The 21,131-nt window shown below is 41.6% G+C and overlaps 1 protein-coding gene and 1 long non-coding RNA gene across 3 annotated transcripts in view; one reads left to right on the plus strand and one right to left on the minus strand.

The window, feature by feature from the left end:
• Window positions 1-21,131, plus strand: part of SUGCT (succinyl-CoA:glutarate-CoA transferase) — a 903,812-nt gene that overhangs the window by 825,085 nt on the left and 57,596 nt on the right. The window lies entirely within an intron of this gene.
• LINC01450 (long intergenic non-protein coding RNA 1450) lies at window positions 4,589-19,850 on the minus strand. The gene is made up of 3 exons (NR_110831.1): window positions 19,285-19,850; window positions 8,026-8,095; window positions 4,589-7,204 (listed from the first exon to the last, which is right to left on the minus strand). It is a non-coding gene; the product is annotated as a long intergenic non-protein coding RNA 1450 (long non-coding RNA).

The following is a 21,131-nucleotide window of genomic DNA, read 5'->3' on the forward strand; positions in this document are numbered from 1 at the left end:
GGAGCTGCAGACTGGAGCTATTCCCATTTGGCCATCTTGCCTGGAAATCCCTCAGAAACCTTTGATGCCACATTGCCCAATTGCTTGTGATGATCAATAGATTTTGGGCCCTTTGTGAAGTGAATAAACAACTACCCACAAAAGGTCATAGTATCTCATTTGCACACTCTCCTTCAAAAGCTGTTTCTCATAGTGAAACAATGAGAGTTGTTTCTCTGCAGTTTCTTTGGAAGTTGTGACTTCCAATATGTAGATTTGTGCTCATGCCAGTGTTTTGTGTCCCCACAGGTTTATTCTTAAATCAGTCATGGTACATAAATGACATCAGTATTTTTGAGAAGAGTCCCATTAGTGCCATTAGAAGTATTCTCCATTTTGCTTCCAGGTCCAAACAATATGTTTGAAACCAGACAAAATCCTGGACAATACATAAGCATTTCAGATACCAAAATACTTTCAAATGCCCCATAGATCTAAAAGATGTTGTAGATTCAGAGGCCATGTACTTTAGTAGCACTAGAAAGTTATTTTTCAAAAGAAACATTATAAGTATATATTACATCATCTTGGAGACATTTGGGTAACTTTTTCAATTTGTTGTTTTTCCAAAGTTTCTCATGGTTATCTCACAGAAAATGAGAAATATTTCATATAAATTTCTTCCATTTTCATACAGTCTTCAGCATTACATCTCATTTATGTTTCCTTTAATGTATCTTACCATACCAGCACATTGCTTCTCTCCCAAAAAGTTAATGCATTAGTCCACAAACATGTATATGTGTATTAATGCATGTTTGACAGCAGTCACACACTTATATCACTGGTCCTGTGACAATTTAATTGAGCAGGAAAGTCTGAAAAGCATTTACTTACCACAAGGATTTTTGAAGTTGCATGTTCTTCTTAAAAGATTGGAAGACTCTCTTAAGAAGGGAACAAAATACTATGCACATACACATACACATGATATTAGAAAACAACACTATCACGGTTTACTGTAACTCATGTGACTCCTCCTCCACACTCAGCACCCCCACACTCCTGATAAAAGTTACTTTAAATCACATAGTGGATTCAAAATATTTAAAAATACTTCAAACTGGATTAATGTTTACCAAATGCAATTTAACTGTCCTTTAAAGGCTGGGCTGCTCATCCATATGTAGGCCCTTTCTAAGGGAAGGCTCTGGAGACAGATGGGATCACACACAGTGCCACACCTGCCTTCCTAGGAAGGAGAGAGAGTGTGACCAAAGACTCCCTCATTAAGTTAGCAAGGGAGTGAGGGAGTGTGACCAAAGACTCCAGATAACAGAACTCTATTCTGTTTCTTATTCTTCTCTTTTGTGATCAATCACCTCCTTCCTCAGCCTTGGGTTTTGCTAGGATGGACTTCATCTCACACCTTTTGTGGCTGAAGTGGGAGAGGGGGACTCAGAAAATCCCAGCTCTTCTTCATTTGCTTCAAAAGCAATTAAAGCCTAAGATAGAAGTGTGTATGGAATTGGTTCCTTCTGGTGGGTTCTTGGTCTCGCTGACCTCAAGAATGAAGCTGAGAACCCTCGTGGTGAGTGTCACAGTTCTTAAAGATGGTGTGTCTGGAGTTTGTTCCTTCAGATGTTCAGATGTGTCCAGAGTTTCTTCCTTCCAGTGGGTTCGTGGTCTCGCTGACTTCAGGAGCAAAGCTGCAGACCTTCACAGTGAGTGTTACAGCTCTTAAAGGTGGCGCATCCGGAGTTGTTTGTTCCTCCCGGTGGGTTCATGGTCTCCCTGGCCTCAGGAGTGAAGCTGCAGAACTTCACAGTGAATGTTACAGCTCATAAAGGTAGTGCAGACCCAAAGAGTGAGCAGCAGCAAGATTTATTGCAAAGAGCAAATGAACAAAGCTTCCACAATGTGGAAGGGGACCCAAGTGGGTTGCCCAGCTGGCTTGGGTGGCCTGCTTTTATTCCCTTATTTGGCCCCACCTACATCCTGCTGATTGGTCCATTTTACAGAGAGCTGATTGGTTCATTTTACAGAGTGCTGATTGGTCCATTTTTACAGAGTGCTGATTGGTGCATTTACAAACCCTTAGCTAGACACAGAGTACTGATTGGTGCATTTTTACAGAGTGATGATTGGTGCATTTGCAAACCTTTAGCTAGACACAGAGCACTGGTTGGTGCATTTACAATCCTTTAGCTAGACAGAAAAGTTCTCCAAGTTCCCTACCCAATTAGCTAGACACAGAGCACTGATTGGTGCATTTGCAGTCCTTTAGCTAGACAGAAAAGTTCTCCAAGTCCCCACCTGACCCAGAAACCCAGCTGGCTTCACCTCTCAGAAAGAAGGTAGTGTGCTTGCTGTCCTGTTTGCCTCAAGTGGACAGTTGGTATCTCAAGATCCTTCAGATTGCATAATATTCAGTTCAATAGACTGTGCTCACCAAGAACCCTCAACCCCTACTATACGAATTCCTTCAAAGGTAAATCACACACACACACACACACACACACACACACACACACACACACACATCAGAAAAATGGAGAGTTTTGCTCAAGACAGCATACTTGCATTACTAGTGAGAAGTTCTAGGTTAAAAAATCCATTCATGTCATGAAAAGAGTGTGCAATACAATGGGAAAAGGGTGGGTGAGTTGGCTCTTCCTGGGCTGATCACACAATGGCTCCGGGTTGACTTTTGATAAGGAACACAGCTGAGTTCAATGTTCTTGTTAGATAGAAGTGTTATGGATCAGCTCCTGGAAACTTTTCTACCCTAATCTGCCCAGCTTGTTTATTTTCAAACCTGTGTACCACTCTTTTAGGCAGGTTTCCAGGAAGATCATCTGGAGATGAGTTTATTTCCAGCTTCCTCCCCTTATAATAATGTCGAAGAAGAAACTGACCAAACCAAGGGGATTGTATTTTAAGCATCAACTACACCTTTTTCTGGGAATTGCATATAAACAAAGAAACATTATTATGTTGCCCCAGCCCTGTACTTTCACATGTTGTCTCTTCCAAGTTATATCATTTCAAAATTTACCTAATTATTATTTGAATTATTCCCACATGTATGTATTATGCTTATTCTTTTCAAGAATATTGGTTTTTTTTTTGTACCCAGAAGTGAGAGATACTTTTGGTGAATGTAAAGGTATCATGGACTCCCCAAGTGGAGACTATCATCAGGCTCTTTGGCCCACTGAACAAGAACATGTCCTATCCCAATTCAGCTTCCTAATGAGATGGAGATAGATTTCTTCATTGATTTTTACTAGTCCCAATTTTTAGTCTTCCCAATGCAGCAAATGCATTGTCTACTTGGGTATTAAACTCCAATTGATACTTTTTAAACATCTATTTATTCTCTGCTTTTAGGAATGAAATAATTACATCTGTAACCTGAATAGCAGGATATGCTCTTATGCCTTACCTGGAGCCAATTTGTATTGGGGAAGAATGTTTTTGTGTTTCTCTTAAGAAAGCTCTGTTAAATTAAATGGAATACTCCTTTCCAAATGTATTTGCACACAAAATTTAATAATGGCAAATGGCATTCTATGGCATAAATATGGGGGAATATTGCTTACATATATCGATAATCCTAGTATGATTCATTCTGCTTATATACAGTCATCAATGTGTATTCATTCTCTTCGTTGTTTCTGGCAGATGTGCCTCTAGATCTAGAAGTAGTTGCAAATCATCAAGATAGAAGTTAAAAGTAAGAGAGGTCAAACTGCCGTGTTTCATGCTGTTCAGTATTTTGATCCTTTGAAAAGATGTCAGATGCAGGTTTAGACTGCATTTATGTGAGGCTGACTTACTCACTCATCTTAATTAAGACCATCATCAGAAGGGATATCCTGGACTTGTGGAAAGCAATTGTTTTTCCTTCACATTAACCCTTGAACTGATGTCCCCCAGCCCGGTGAATGTTAAATTGAACATTGGTATTTAGAAGTATCAGAAAGACTTTCACATTCTACATAGTATTTCTTGATGTAATGAAGATATCAAAATGTCCTATCAATCCTTGCTCAAGAAGGACTTCTCTATTCATTTTGTATCAATGAATCATTCATAAATTAAGACAGATTTGTCTGGCTATGCTTGAATAAACTTGGATCTTGCCTATGTAGCTCTTGATTGGAAAGGTCTTCCTGGGTAGAGAGAAGGCTCCACTTATATCAAAGAGAGAGTATATAAAGGGAAACAGAAAGGAACTTGCTGAAATTTAAACTTAATTTTGAACATCTTATTTGCATGCATCATAAAATCAGAAATACACTCCATCTTTGTGGGGATGTTAGATTGAATGTATTGATCAGCAAGAGACAAGTCTCTGAGACCCAGATTCTGGAGAGGGGTTCAGGAAAGCACAGTCCAGGCAAGTGCCTCAAATGTCATAGGCACTTGGATCCCTCTGGGTGGGTCTCAGTAACATCACTTTGCAAAGCTCACATAGTGAAAAGTAGCCAATGGTGTGCACCACTGAGTGAGACGATGCTTTGCCACGTGTTCCAACCTTAGTCATGTGACTTCATGGGAATGATCCCAGCTAAATGGGCCCCAAGTAAATATTCTGTTTGCAGAAGGTGAATACTTAATTCTTTATTGATATGCTGGGAGTAAATTTCTACTAGAAGAGTTGTCTGCACTCACACTCAGAGCCTAACTCTGTGGGGTGTTGGTAGGAGAGTAACAGCTGCTCACCTGTTAAATTGGTTTTGGCAGATCCCTATGCTGTGGTTGAGATATCCGGTTCAGGACAACATATCAGCCTTCAACTACCTCATCACAACACTGGCCTTCCTTGTCCCCACTGAAAAGGCAATATTAAGCTGTCTATTGTCCAGCCTTCACAAAAGAGTTGTCTAAAGGTTAAGCACTCTGTTAATGCTTCTACCCAAGCTAGACCGATAAGAGCTTCATATTTGGGTTTACAAATTGCCTAAACTGGATTGCATTTTAAGGTTGTGCCCTTGGTTTCTAAGGAGGAGACTCTAGCCTTGCTTGTAGGACTCCTGTTAAGTTCAGTGTGTATAACATCACTCAGCATTTCCCATGTGAGGCCCCACCAGCCTGATTTGCTTGAGACATTAGTACAAGAAAAATACATTCGCTTCCCCTGAGGAACTAGCATGTTTCTTCTCATCTAATAATAAGAACTATGCAACTGACCATATCTCCCCTCTTTTGCTTTGACTGCCAGGGGGCTAAGAGCCAAATTTAACTATGTTTGCAGCAATGTAAGCCTATATGGGCCTGTGTATTTGCATCCTTGTATCACCTGCCTCTTCTTTCTTTCTTTTTTCCTTTATTCATTAATTCATTTGTTTTAGTCTTACCTTCGTCAATTACTCTGAAAAAATAGGCAGAGTTATATATTAATAATAACTTAAAAAGTAGAAAATATTTGGTAATTTTCAAAATAAAGATGGTTTCACTTTAGAATGATTGTTGGCCTATTTCTAATGTCAACATTATGAATTCATATTAATCGAGTTGTATATGATGTTTCTTTTAAAGTACTATATATTCATACTAAAACAAATGAAACAAAATAAAACATACTTTTGTCTTTGGGTTGATTTAAGTTTCAGAGATTTGGTAATTCTACCTCTGAAAGACAAAACAGACTATTTGGAAAACAAAACAAAAACTGATGTAGAACATACCATCTATGCATCTACTATCAGAGAATGACCTCTTTGTTTTAAAATGGACAATGGAAAATGAAAGTTATTTACATTAGCTGCACTTTGTTAATTTGCTGATATCATGAATGAAAGAAGACTGTTGGTTGAAAATCTAAAAAAAATGGTAAGAATTCAGTCATTGTAATGGCCTAGTTTCAAATACCACAAGGCAGGTTTCAGGGTGTTTCCCCCGCATTGTCACTCTCTTCTGCCTCACCACTCTTTTACACAGAAACCCTTTTTAAAAAAATAAGTATCTCTATTTGCATAGGACTGCATAGGCCATCACAATCATTCAATAAAAAGTGGGCACTATTAGTAAGACAAAGGTTGAACATGTTTGAGTTTTGAAGAACCTAAAGCTAGTTTCAAAACCAATAGGACCCTGTGGATTTCACAGAAATTTTACAGGTGGTAAAACTAAATGGAACAACAGATTGAGAGCCAGGGTTCTGGGAGAAGGTAAGCAGGACACAGAGATAGTGAAAGGAGACCAGAGGAGAGGGCTCCTGAGAAGGATTCTGCATTGATGGAAAAATAGAAAACAAAGCTGTTACATATCATCCTCTGGACATTCATGAGTGATCATATAATAGCAATGTTTTCTTTCTGGTAATTGACTGTCCTCTTTTGCCCTTAAGAAGTTAAAGACTCTCTTAAGGAGACTCTCTTATTCATATGCTGGGAATAAATTCCTGTGACAAAAGTTGTCTGCGTTCACGCTCAGAGCCTAACTCTGTGAGGCGGTGGGAGGCGAGTAACAGCTGCCCACCTGTTAAATTGGTTTTGGCAGATCCGTGTCCTGTGGTTGAGATATATCTGGTTCAGGACAACACATCTGCCTTCAACTACCTCATCACACCACTGGTCTTCCGTGTCCCTACTGAAAAGATAATATCAAGCCGTCTGTTGTCCAGCCTTCACAAAAGAGTTGTCTAAAGGTTAAGCACTCCGTTAATGCTTCTATTCAAGCTAGACCGATAGAAGCTTCATACTTGGGTTTACAAATTGCCTAAAGTGACTTAAACATAGAGGAATAGACTGCCACATTGGAAAATGACTCATGGTTTGGTTGAAAGAGCTGAAAGAAACAGAGAAAAGGAAATATGTGAAACTGTTCTAGAGGTTGTTTCAATGAACCCAGAGATGTGTATCTTAGCTCTTTGTTCACTATCCAGAAAGCTGTGCTTGTGGGTGCATCAGACTTCATTTTTCTTTTCTTACATCTTTTGAAAAATTTGATGCTTACCATCATGGAACCCTGGGCATTTCCAAGCTCATCCTTCTCTGAGTTCAAGTCTGTAAAGCACAACTTAGGTGTTTCTCAGGTTCTTTGTTTTGTTACCCAAATGGGTGAGAAAAGACTCACCCTGTGCCCTCTCTCCCATCACCACAGAGTCTCATGCTATCCAGTAGCCTCCTCTTCTGCACAGGCCAGAGTGCAATCTCACCAGTATGCAAAAGGTGCTGCCAGGCTCCCAGAGGCAGGGATGTTATCCTTGCCATAGCTGGAAAAGAGCAAGTTGAGATTGGAATCATGAAGTGTTATTACAAGTCACTAAGTTCATGTGTAAGTAATGAGAAAATCACAGAATCTCCGTTTAATAAGACAAGTACGAAATCCCTCAGAATAGAGTGCGTTTCATAGGAAACTGATAACCAGATCCTCCCACACCCAAGCAATTAAAATACAATAACCTCCTTCCTGCTTCCCAATCTCACACACCCTCACCCTCAATCAAACTGAAGTTGAAAAAGTACTTGTATAAATTCTGGCTACATAGCATTGAATGTCCTCTTCCAAATTATGGGAACTTCTGGAAATAAAATGCAGTGAATTCTTTTTTTTTTTTGAGAAGGAGTCTTGCTCTGTCGCCCAGGCTGGAGTGCAGTGGTGCGATCTCAGCTCACTGCAAGCTCCGCCTCCCGGGTTCACGCCATTCTCCTGCCTCAGCCTCCCGAGTAGCTGGGAATAGAGGTGCCCGCCACCACGCCCAGCTAATTTTTTTTGTATTTTTAGTAGAGGCGGGGTTTCACCGCGTTAGCCAGGATGGTCTCGATCTCCAACGCAGTGAATTCTTATACAGAAATACATACAATAACCACAAGAACCCACTCCTACTATTTCTTCCCTAATAGAGGGTCTAAGACTGGACTCAATGGATATAGAAAAGCTAAACGTAATACTTATTTCTAACCTGTGGATCATAATTTTAATAACAGATGCTATTTAATACATTTCTATGTACCCATCCATTTTTCTTTTCTTCTTTCATGAACCTAAGAAATTTTCCAAATGAAAAACATACTCATTGTATGAACAACGGACCTGATGAGATTTGGGATCAATTCCTCTTCTTGTCCACAGCTTTAAGTCTTATTTGCATATTTCTGTAAAACTAGAAAAGAATAAAATAGGATGAGGCAATCTAGATATATTTGAAATGTTTATAAAACAAACCCTTTTACAACAAATAATTTACAACAACCATGGACCAGGTCACACACCAAACCCCTTCTTCATTTGCCCATAACGTGAAACCAAACAGTGGAACCGTGTCTGCCGAGTCCACTGTGAGGAGGGCTGCTTCCAGCACAGCCTCATTTTATTGTCAGGGCTTAACACTAACTGGCATGGACACAGCAAACCATGACCAGTTGAGGATGCTGCCTCCCTATATATAATTCAGTGGACAGGTCCAGCACTGGAGAGCTGAGAAACTAATGCAGTGCAATGACTGTACATTATTAGTGCCCAAACTGTGATCAGCCACCTCCAAGGTGAGGTTCAGCTCCTGAAGCCTCTAGAAGAGACATCGAAAAACAAAACAAAGTTCTCCGTGGCCTACAGGAAAATAAGTGCTGCTGATCTCAAGACCAAAAGGCATAGCTGGGTAAAGGTAGAGAAAGGATACGGGGCTTAATGTTCACCAAGACAAGAGGAGTAACCAAGGCTGGGGCACAGAAGCGATCTCTGAAGCAAACCCTCCAGTAAGTAACAAGGCCCATCTGTGGAGGGCTGTGGCTGAGCTGCTACAGGACATGGGCCAACTCTTCCTCCACATGGCACCCAGACCCCACAGACCTGAGGGTGGAAGTCCCCTCCTCACAAGCACCTGTGGTGTGAGCATCCAGAAGGCCTGCCTGTAGCCAAGTGGATCCTGAGCAGCTCCCAGAGACCACAGTCCCACCCAGAAGCCCCTGAGGCTGTCCTCTTATTCCAGCTCCTGCTCCAGCCGGCCCCACGAGGCCAACTCAGGGCACTGTGGGTGTCAGGAAGAGAAAGAACCTGTAATGGCAAAGAAGTTTGTTCTGATCCTCACTTAAGAGATAGTTCTTTAAACTCCACTGCTTCCGATTATTCCAGAGCCTTTCTTGGGAAAAGTCATCATGTTAAAAATGGCTTATCAGTCCTCATGTTACATGGTCTGTCTTGACCTTTCAAACCCTTTCTGGAAACACTGTGTTATACTCTGCTTATGATAAGGGATCACACTGATGAAATAAAGATTATTTCAAATTTACGTGTGTTCTATATTTTGGAGGCCTATTCCAACTGATACATTTTATGTATTTATGTATTTATTTATTTAGAGACAGAATGGTGCTCTATTGCCCAGCCTGGAGTGCAGTGGCACAATCACAGCTCACTGCAGCCTCAACCTCCCAGACTCAAGGGATCCTCTTGCCTTTGCCTCCTGAGTAGCTAGGACCATACCATGCCTGGCTATTTTATTTTTTTTTAATTTTTGTACTGACGGGGGTCCCACTGTGTTGTCCAGGCTGGTCTTGAACTCCTGGCCTCAAGCCATTCTTCCACCCCAGCTTCCCAAAGTGCTGGAATTACAGGCATGAGCCGCTGCACCCAGCTTTCAACTGTTGTATTTTAAATAGAACTTAGAAACTTGATTTCCAGTTTCAGGCCCACATCCTATTGGGTCAGTTTTTATGTCTGGTCATGGCTTTTGTTTGTTTTCTACATCTGTTTTGGTTCATCTGAGTTGACATTTATTTCTGTCCTTGAATGTTTTCTGAATAAATTACAGAAAAGGTTTAAAGTATCTCTTAGTATGCTTAGTTCCACAGGATAATCTGATAAAGCATATTATCCTGTTATGGTGTTAGTTTTTCCTGTTGGCTTTTGTCCCAGTGATGCTAACATTTCCAAGGTGGCAGGAGGGGGAGACTGCCCTGTGTCCAACAGAAACAAAAATGTCTAAAGCAACATTCTTTGCAGGTAAAAATCACCTAATTTATTTCTTTCTGGGCAGCAAAATATTGATGGCAATACAATGAAAGTCCATCGCGAGGAGGCTTTTTAATTGGGAACTTTTCAGAATCAAGAAGGTTTGTTGAGTGTGTTTGTACTCAGGCTCTATGGTTTTGTTTTTCTTTTTTTTTTCTGAGACGGAGTCTCGCTCTGTGGCCCAGGCTGGAATGCAATGACGCGATGTCAACTCACTGCAATCTCTGCCTCCTGGGTTCAAGTGATTCTCCTGCCTCAGCCTCCCGAGTAGGTGGGATTACAGGCACTCGCCACCATGCCCAGCTAATTTTTGTGTTTTTTGTAGAGACAAGGTTTCGCCATGTTAGCCAGGCTGGTCTTGAACTTCTGATCTCAAGTGATCCGTCTGTCTTGGCCTCCCAAAATGCTGGGACTACAGGCATGAGCCACTGCACCTGGCCAGACTCTATGGTTTTAACTATGTATTTTTTTCATTCAGGTATAGATTTTCTTTTGGGTGCCAAGTATAGGACTAGATGTTGATAATGTAAATATAAATAAGATGTGGCTCCTGACCTCATGTGTTCACGACCAAATAGGAAAGTTCTGAGAAATACAAAAGCAAAGGGTGGTAAGTGTTTTGATGAACTTGAATATGATGTAACTGAGACTCCAAAGAAGGAATTCAACTTGGGGAGACATTATGAAACCCTTCTTGGAGGATCTGAATCTTGACATGAGCATTTGCCTGGCTGGGTGGGAGTGGGGACATTCCATAGAGGAGATGCAAGAAATCAAAAGAAATGAGTCTTGGGAGAAGGACAAGGGGGACAAGGAGAAAGTTTAGTGAGGCCAGCAGGTGACTTTACATGCTGGGACATCTTGTAGGTATTTGGGAGACACTGAAGGATTTTAAGCAAAGAAGTGACACTCTGACTTACGTTTTTAAAAAATCAGGTGGCAGGGTTAAAGGAGTGTGTGTTGGGTCATTCTTGTGTTGCTATAAAGGAATACCTGAGACTGGGTAATTTATTTTTTCAAAACAGAGGTTTAATTGGCTCACGGCTCTGCAGGCTGTATAAGCATAGCACCAGCATCTGCTTGGCTGCCGGGGATGCCTCAGGGAGCTTTCACTGATGGCAGAAGGTGAAGTGGAAGCAGGCATGTCACATGGCAAGAGCGGGAGCAAGAGAGAGCGATGCGGGAGGTGCCACACACTTTTACACAACCAGGTCTCATGTGAGCCCACTCAGCATGAAGAGGATGGTGCTAAGCCATTCATCTGCCCCCATGATCCCATCACCTCCCACCAGGCACCACCTCCAACAATGGGGATTACATTTCCACATGAGATTTGGAGGGGACTTCCAAACTATATCAGGATGTGAAGTGGAGATAGAGAGACCAGTTCAAAGAATATTCTAATATCCAGGCAAATGATGATGAGAACCTAGATTCAAGCCAGAGCAGTGAAATGCACTGGAAGGGATAAGCAGAAGAGATTTAAAAGGGGTTTATGCAGAGGTTAGTCAGTGATTGAGGGCTGAGTCTCAGGCTTCCTGGGTGACTTGTGGCACTGGATAACACACAGACATTGAGTGAGAGTGTTTTTTCATTACAACACCAGGCATAATTGGCACCTCAGATTCTAAATGTTAGATTCTGAGACTGATCTTCAGTTGTTCTAAGAGGATCATGTCTAAGATGGGTATTTCCATTATTTCTTCTCTTTCAGGTTCTGTGGGTTGTCGTCAGTACCACAGGCAGAGCTGTGTCCCATCAGGAACCTCACTTTTGTTTGCAGCTCCCTCTGTATTTGCAGAGCAGTTCTTTACAGTTTGTTTCAAGTACAAGGATTTTGTCATATGCTCTTTTTTTTAGCAGGTCTTTGTCAATTAATATTTTTTTACATAAAAAATTCATGTTTACACTGAGAAATAAGAAACCTCATAGATGAGAAAATAAATAAAACTCATTTATTAGTCCACCACCTAGAGAAAGCTCTGGTTAACATTTTTCTTTTTTGGTATGGAACCATGCAGAAATTTTATATATATATACACCTGTGAAATGTTTATGTGTTTATATAAAAGTGGTTCATCTATATATGTTTCTTTTTTACCTGGTTTTTCACTCAAAAATATGTTGTTATTTTATTTCCATGTCAATAAATATACATCCCGAAGCCATTCTAAATGTCTGCACTCTACCTTGTGTATCTATGTACCACAATTAACTTAACCAATTTCTCCTTAGAAGACAGTTAATGTCCTTGTTTTTACGAAACAATCATCATAGCTGTCAGGTCTGGGATTCGATTTTACACTCCTTGCCAGCTAAAAAGTAAATCTGCTACCATTTCATGGATGCTGGTAGAAGACATAAGATGTTGGATCAGAGACAAAGGGCTTTATTACTACAGTACTGCAGATAGCATGAATATCAGCATGTACGTTGGTTCCCCTTGCTTCCAAGCCCCACAGACCTGATTCAGTGGGCCCAGAGGGACACTTTGCACACAGTGGGTTTGCATTGCAACAGGAATACTGAGCTTAGGGAATCTACTTCTGCTTTGTAAATGGTAAGTAAGCCTGCTCTTTGTCTCAGTAAGAGACATTACCTCATCCTCCAAGGTTGCTTGCTATAAGCACCAGCCTGGGAAATGGCCTTGGTAAAGAGTGGTAAAGGATGCTACATTCTTGCCATATCCAGCAAGGTGTGTTGTAACACAAGAGATTTATCTAGGGCTACCTCCCAACAATAAGCATCCTTGCCTACATATCCTTGGGATAATTTCAAAGGAGTGAAATTACTGGACCAAAGGGTTTGCACTGCTGTAGACCTTCTGTAAGACTTTCTAATTGTAATGTAATTACCAAATTACCATCTAGAAACTTGCTCCTGCAGGTTTGCTTTCTCACGTATAACTATAGCTTTTCACTTACTAACCCAGGAATGGCCTCTCTCATCTGAGCACTCAGATCCATGTTGGCATTCTCTGCTTTTCCGGAGATATGTCTCATTTGTATTAACAGGGAGGGTATTTTAGCAGAGCCATTTCCTGATTGGTGTCAAGCTGAAAATAGATTGCTTGCCCCCAGGTTGGTGGAAACAGGAATGCTTAGAAACAACATTGCCTCTCCTCCTCTGCAGCAGGTCAAGTCTCTTCCTACCCATGAGGCCTAAGCCCCTGTTTTCTCATTTGATCTAACACTCTGGACAGGTGGTATGTTCTGTGTGTGCTGATAGGTGAATTTTAATGACATTTTCAAGGCATTCTGAAAAAACAAAGCAATTCTTTGAATTGCTTTTGTCAAATAACAAAATTATTTGACATAAGTCTCATTGAAAACAGATGTGGAAATATGCAATTCTTACTTTTTTACTACCCTTCCCTGGGGACTTTTGGCTTATGCCAGTCTGAATTTTGATGTTGAAAGTTTCAGTGTCTCTCTTTTCCAGGTGTATTGTCTTTAATATATAGGAAAATCTAGGGGAAGGGACCCTAAGCAGTAGCTAATACTGTTAAAAGCACGTCTGAACTATCAGAGAGCTAATTAAGTAGGAAAGGTTTGTCCTTGGACTAAAGCCTCCCACGGGATAGGACGCTGGTGCATGCGTCCTGGCAGTGGCTAGAGCCAGTGGGTTTGGGCATGGGAAACTCTGTTTTCATCATAGAACTTTCCTATAATTTTGGCATATTCATTTCCTTTTTATTTATTCTTCAGTTAAATGAAACTACAAATATCTGACCTTTACTTCAATCACAAAATCATTTCTAATAGCCCTTGTATTTTATTTATATATGTGACACCAAAGCATATAACCCAAGACAGTATTTTGTTTTCCTTCTAGAGCTCCTCTCTCTTTCATCCCCCAGTAGTGGCTGTCCATGATCTTACCCATGCTTTTCCTGGCATTTGAGGCAGATAAATTGAAATCAATTATGTATTGGCTAATAGTGATTGTTCATAGTTAGCTGCTAATGGATTACCTATGGTATTTGCTTGAAGTCAATGAGTCCAGTATTTTCAGAGAAAGAATTCTGGCTACTGCATTCTCAAGATGGTTTATTTTTGTCCCCACACCAGGGATGATGGAAGGAAAAGTCCATAGTGCCTAAAGAGCCACCTTCAAAGAAAAGTGACTCTATTTTTCTTTCTGATCTTGTGGTGTTGTTCACATAGGGTGCCCTTTGAGTGACATCTGCCCTGCTACCAAAGCAGGAAGAATCAGCCATTATTTTAGACTGAATGTTTATGTTCCCCCAAATTCAAATGTTGAAGTCATAACCCTCCAATGTGACTATACTTGGAAATTGAACCTATGAGGAGGTGATAAAGGTTAAATAAGGTCAAAAGTGTGGGGGTGTAATCTGATAGGGCTGATGCCCTTATAGAAAGAGAAAAAGATGCCAGAGCTTGCTGTCTCCATCATATGAAGACACAAAAAGAAGGTGACCATCCACAAGTTAAGACAAGAGCCCTCGGCAGAAACCATCCCTGCCAAATCTTGATCTAGGACTTCCAGCATCAAGAACTGTGATAAAATACATTTCTGTTGTTTAAGCCACACAGTCTATTATATTTTGTTATGGCAGCCTGAGATGACCAATACAGACACATGAACACTCCAGAAACAGCCACCTAGGACTGGGCAGGTGGAAGTCCAATCACCTTTGAGATGACATGTTACATGTGCCCAAGAGTAGCATTTCACCCTCACTGATTGGTACCAAATGAATTCTCTGAAATCTCTTCTTGGGAAAGCACAAATGCTAAGTGAATTAAGGAAAGTACATTATGTGTACCAAGTTTTCATTCTTATCTATAATGAACATTTTTTTCATTTCTCTGTAAAATGTAGACATATCCCAACTATCCAGATATTCATCCAACTTTATAGGAAGTACTTGCGAAAATCTGCTTCAAGATCTGTATTAAAGCTCTCTGAGAGTAAAATAAATCTTAATTACCAGAATATTCATGCACCTGGCGCAGTAGGTGGTCAATAAACTCTTGTTATAGGCTAAGTGAGTGAACAAATGTTAATGAAAGAATGAATCAGTAACAAATAGAATCTGAGGTGACTCTAGTGTCTGATCAATTTTATAAATATTCCACATATCTTCTGTCTTTCCAAAAACCTTCATTACCCATGGTTTTGTATACATTTCCCTTCAAGAAACCTAAAGAAGCCTAACCAAGATTTCTTCATCGTGTTCTACACTATAAAGGAGGAAGGGTTTGGAAGCGGAAATCTCAAGGATCATCCTCCTCACATGTACAGAGTGTTCCTTCAGATCTCTATATGTGGATGACTTCCTTGGGTCCCATATCACAGCTGAAATGTTCAAATCATTTAAGTCCGTTTCATGATGTTCAAGAGGTATGCAAGATTCTATTCATTCTAAGTATAAGAAGCCATCTCTCTGTTTGCAAATATCAGAATACCCAACTCACAGGAGCTTAAACCAATAGTTGTATTTTCTTTTCTGTATATGATACAAATACTAGAGGTAGGCTGTCCCTCTGATCCTTTGATTCAATGATTCTTCAGTTCTGTGGCCTTTAAAAATGTTTTCCAGATGGTGGCTTCTTTTCCAGGCATAACATCTGCTTCCTAGTCAGTGAGAAATGGGAAGAGTATGCCTTTGCCTTTTTATTTTGAAACCCATCTTGCAGCCCACAGGGTTCTACCTATATTTTCTTGGCCAGAGTTACAGTGCATTGCCATCCTTAGATGCAAGGGAGAGAGGAAGGCAAGGAAGAACTGGGTTTAGAATGTGTGTTGAATGAACACTCATATGCAAGTATCTTCTACACTTTCTTAAGTAAGAAGAGGACGTTTTTGAGAATGCCAAACAAGACTTGGAAGTAAGAGTAGCTTCTGAGAGTTCAGCAAAAAGTGTTATGGCCAATTCTTTCATAGCCCTGCCTTAACTAAGCTCCATGACCACGTCTGTGTCATCTAGTTCCAATCTAAATGGCCAAACCAGGATCAGATATCCCTCCCACCCTTTGTGGATCAGTTATGGCTAGCGTCCTGCAAGCTGAGGGTCAGGGTTGGATGGTTCAAACATTGGTTGTAGGGGCATTCGGTTTACTAATAGCAATTTTCACAGAAGAGGAGTCGTTGTGAACAAGGGAGCCATGAGGTGGGTCTATTTACTCTTGGAGGAGGTGAGTGCGTTGCAGGCAGATTTTTCCAATATCACCTCCTGCTGCCCTCAATTGCTTCTAAATGTGGTTTTAGAGACCTTGGAGAACAGAGCTCTTGTCTGAGCATCCAAATACATGGGAGGTATCCCAGTTCTTAGCTATGACTTTGGGCAAACTATTCATTAAATATCCATTGCCTCATCTGTGCAGTAAGAATAAAAATATCCATGGATTAAGTGAGAAATTGAAATAAGTATATTCTGACATGACTGAAGCCTTAGATAAATAGAAGATGTTGCTATGATTTGTATCTTATAACAGTGCCAAACTATGACTACCTTTCCTAGCCATTGATAGGTTTCACATCTCTGAATGTGATCTCATGCACATGGGCCACCAATATTTACAAGAAGAATTATTTTTCCTACAACCCCTCCTTCAATTTTTCCAGGCTTTTTGTCACCTCTCACTCAGCATGTTCTCTTCCAATGAGTGGTTGAGAGTGGAGGATGGAATATGTCTTCTGGAATCAGGAGCTGTGTCTCATGATCCCATTTGCAGTGCATGTGACTGGAGAAGGCAAAACCTGAAATCCCCTTTTCTCACCAGAGGTCACACAGACCCCAAAGGTTTAAAGCAACAGTCAAATGAGCTGCACACTACCTCTCTAACAGGCTGTTCAATGAGATAGTTACTTGACCACACTACTTTCAATGAGGTAATGGTCCCACATGCACCCTCTTTCCTTGGTAGAAGGTACATAAAATAGAAATAAATGATCAAGTTACAGAAAGAACTCTGAATGACCAATTCTGGTTCAAGTAAAGGCCTTCCCCTACCCTGCAGTTCCCTGATGATAAATCTTTCAGCAACAGGCTGATCCCTTTCAGAAAATAGGCTGACTAGCAATGTTTTCACCTTCTGTACTTGTCAGGATGGAGTGAGTGTGAGATGGAGACCTGAACACACACACAACCGCAGACAAATGGCCGTGAATGGGTTTCCTCATTCAGGGCCATTTGGCCGATCCTCTGGCGGCTGCTGGGAGGGAGAGAAAAGGGAACAGGTTGCAATGTCAATAATAATAGCAAATGCAATAGACCATCTGTAAAAGGAAGCTGTTGATCTGACTTCCAGAGCATGCTGGCGACAAGGTTGAAGGGACAGGACAGAGCTCCTACTACTAAAATGAATGGCAATGTCATTTTCCATTTCTTCATTCTCTTAGTTTTCCCTTGGGGGTAGATTATTTAAAGTCTGTCATGAGTCTTTGCGAATTTGCAAAGCAACTTGTATGTGCTATCTCATTTTACCCAGACCTATTTGTATGCTATAGGAAAAAGAATATGAAGGAGTTAGGGCTTCAGTATTTCTCAAGGTATTCTTTGGTGACAAGTTGCATGGGGCTTCTAGGGGAAGGGGTATGAACAAGCTTACAAGGTGGCTGCTCCGACCAGAAATGGAAACCACTCCCTCTCACAAGGAAGTTATTGTTGATAAACACCTTTCAGAGGTAGTCAGAGGATATAGAAATCAGATAAGGTTATTTTCCTTTGTCTTGTTTCTCTGGTTCCCCTGGTGTTTGCTTTTTCCTCTAAATTAATTAGAGCCAAACTGCATTAAAGTGACTAGTAAATCCCTACCTGGGCAGATCTTATCTGAATGCCACCACTTCCTGCTATTGCTCCTGCCAGGAGATTCTAGTCTTGGGTCTGGCTGATGTATTTCTGTGATCCAAAGCCTGCCTCTGTAGCCTGATGAACCTGCCACTTGACCCTTAAACCTCGGCCATCTTGGGGCTGCGATTCAATTTTTTCCTGTTCGCCATTGGCTCTCTTGTCTGTAACCCCCTTGAGTTATTGATAGGGTCTTGGATAGCCCCTGCAGTGTCTTTGTGTGAATTTCCAAAAGCTCTCAGCTCTTGGCAGTCTAACCAGAAAAGCATCCCCCTGTGGACTGAGGTGGCTGGCACCTGGCCAGCCCTTGGAATACAGGCTGGTCCTCAGCCCTCACTTGCACCCCTCTGCTCAGCACACAGACACATGCTGTGGGCTGGAGAATGGCAACACCTCTGTCATTTGTCTTTGCCTCTGGCCAAAGTGTCAAAGGGAAGTCAGCTCTGATGGCAAGTCAGGCAGGGGTTGCTCTCCAGGCTTCTTTGACTGCTGTGTCAGGCGACCACAATGTCCTGGCAAGGACAGCTTAACTCTTGCCAATGGGACTTTCACTGATTTATTCAAACACTGACTGAACACCTACCAAGTGCCAGGCATGTGTAAGATGCTGGGGATATTGAGGGCACACCAAGACAGATGTGGTCCCCGTGCTCATGGGCCTCAAAGTCGAAATGTGGGACAGTCAAAAACGTGTGAGTGGGCATAGTAATTTCATAATGTATGAGGGCTGAGGAAGTTATGACCAGACTGCTGAGAAAGAAAATAATAGAAAAGCAAGGGATGGATTTCGAATGGGGCAATTGTGGCGAGACCAAAAGGATAAGGATAAGCCAAAGCCAAGAGCATGAGTGGTCCATCTGAAAAACAAAAGCAGCATGTGTCAAGGCCATGAGGCAGAAAAAGACTGACATGTTCCAGGAACCAAAGGGGCACTGGAGTGGAGGCGATGAAGCCCGAGAAGGGAGGCACGAGTAAGGTCTTTGAAATGTGTATGACACAGGTTATGCAGGACTCACTAAGGCTTTCCAACTGCATTCTTCATGCAATGGAAGTCATTTGAAAGGCTTTAAGCAGGATAATGACATGATTGGGTTTAGATTTACAAAGATCACTTTGGCTGACAGCTCTAGTTGCTGTAATTTCCTTTATATGCCTTGCTCAGCCTCATAATGTACCTTCCTGATTGGGAGTTGGTGCAAGGTTGATGTACCCCCATATTCACAGTCCCTGGCCCCCCATGCCTTTTCCATTATGCCCTATGCTTGTGCCTCCACAAAATACTGAGCCCCATATCTGTGAGGAGAACTTCCTTGACTTAGTTTCCCCCTTAGCATTTCCCACTTTCCAAGCTTCAAGACATCCACAAGCAAACATCCTTGGGACACTTTCCTACTCACATGAAAGAAGCAGGGTTCCTGTTACTCTACTCTTTCCCAAGACTCAAATGTGGGCCCAAACTACCTGTGAAGCTGACATAGTGTACGTGTTAATCTAAAGACCAGAAATGCTGTTGCAAAATGTTTTACCTTTATGTAGGTACTAAAGACGCATTTGCATTTTTCTCCAAGTGCTCTGGCTCTTACCAGACAACAGAAGGCCAGCAGCACGGTGGTCTGATGAGTGGATTGGAGTGTGACTCATCAGCGGGTCTTCCTGGAGACACTGCGGCTCAGCAGCCCCTGCGGAGGCCTGACTGCATCTGGTGAAACTTCCTTTTGACACAGGTGTTGGTGACATGGTCAAGTCATGTAGAAATGGGAAAGTCAGTTGCTCTTTTCTTTTGTGGCCTGTCTACACAGCTTCATGAGGAGAAGGGTGGGGAAATTTCTGTCCCACTACTCAGAGACATTTTAAGAAGAAGAATAAATCCAAGCACCTGGAACCTGAAATCAAGTCACTTTTTTTCTTATCCATTGGTATAAGGGAAATTTTGGAGACAAAAATATACCCTAAAAGAGGATACCTAGCTTTCTTTTTGGAAGTCTTTGCGGGGAAAAGGGACTGTTAAAAGTGTAGCGTAGTTGGTTAAGTGAAAAATCCTCAGGTAAGGCTTCCAAATTCAAATCTCAATCCTACCACTTCCTAGGTGAGTGGGTTCATCTGCTCAGGCTGTCATAATGAAATACCCTGGACTAGGTGACATAAACAACAACAGTTTATTTTCTCACAGTTCTGGAGGCTAGAAAGTCCAAGATCAAGGTACTGACCAATTTTGTTCCCCAGTGAAGGCTCTCTTCTGGCTTGCAGATGGCTTGCCAAATTGCTGTGTCCTTACATGCAAGAGAGAGACAGCAAGAGAGAGCAAGAGAGAGAGAGAGAGACAGAGACAGAGAAGAAGCTCTCTGGTGTTTCATCCTCACTAATCCCATCATGAGAGCTCCACACTTATTATCTCATCCACCCCTAATTAACTCTCAAAGACCCTGTCTCCTAATACCTTCAAATTACAAGTTAAGACTTTGGTACATAAATATTGGGGGGGACACAAATATTCAGTCTATAGTATTGCATCCCTTTTGCCCCCCCAAATTCATGCCCTTATTGCATACAAAATGTATTAATTCCTCCCCAATAGCCGCAAAAGTCTTAACTGATTTGCAATATTATCTCTAAAGTCCAAAGTCTCACCTCAGTATTATGTAAATCAGATATGGATGAGACTCAATATACAGTTCATCCCGAGGAAAAACTTCTCTCCACTTGTGAAACTATGAAACCAAACAAGTTGTATGTTTCCAAAATACAATGGTGGGACAGGCATAGGATAGACATTCGTACTGTAAAAGAGAAATATTAGAAGGAAAAAAGAGGTGAGTAGTCCTAAGCAAGTGTAAAACCTAGGAAGGCAAATACCATTAAATTTTTTTTTTAGATGGAGTCTCACTGTCACCCAGCCTGGAGTGCAGTGGTGCGATCTCAGCTCACTACAACTTCTGCCTCCTGAGCTCAGGTGATCTTCTCGCCTCAGCCTCCCAAGTAGCTGGGACCACAGGCACACACCACCAAGCCAGGCTAAGTTTTTGTATCTTTGGTAGAGACAGAATCTTGCCATGTTGCTCAGGCTGGTCTCAAACTCTTGAGCTCAAGTGATCCACCTGCCTTGGCCTCTTGAAGTGCTGGGATTACAGGTGTGAGTCACCGAGCCTGGCCCCATTAGACCTTAAGGCTCAAGAATAATCCTCTTTGGTTTGCTCCTCCACCTTCCAGGCCCAGTGGGATGGCAGCATCTCATTTCTTTGGCTCTCTGTGGTAGCTCTGCCCACACATGCTTCTGCAGAGTTGTGGTCCAGCCATCTGAAACTTACGTGGAGGCAGCCTTGCACCCCTGGCCTGTGCACTCTGGACCAGTGATAGGATTGGCAGCCCTGATGAA

Source organism: Homo sapiens, chromosome 7 (assembly GCF_000001405.40).
Source record: "Homo sapiens chromosome 7, GRCh38.p14 Primary Assembly".
Lineage (NCBI taxonomy): Eukaryota > Metazoa > Chordata > Mammalia > Primates > Hominidae > Homo > Homo sapiens.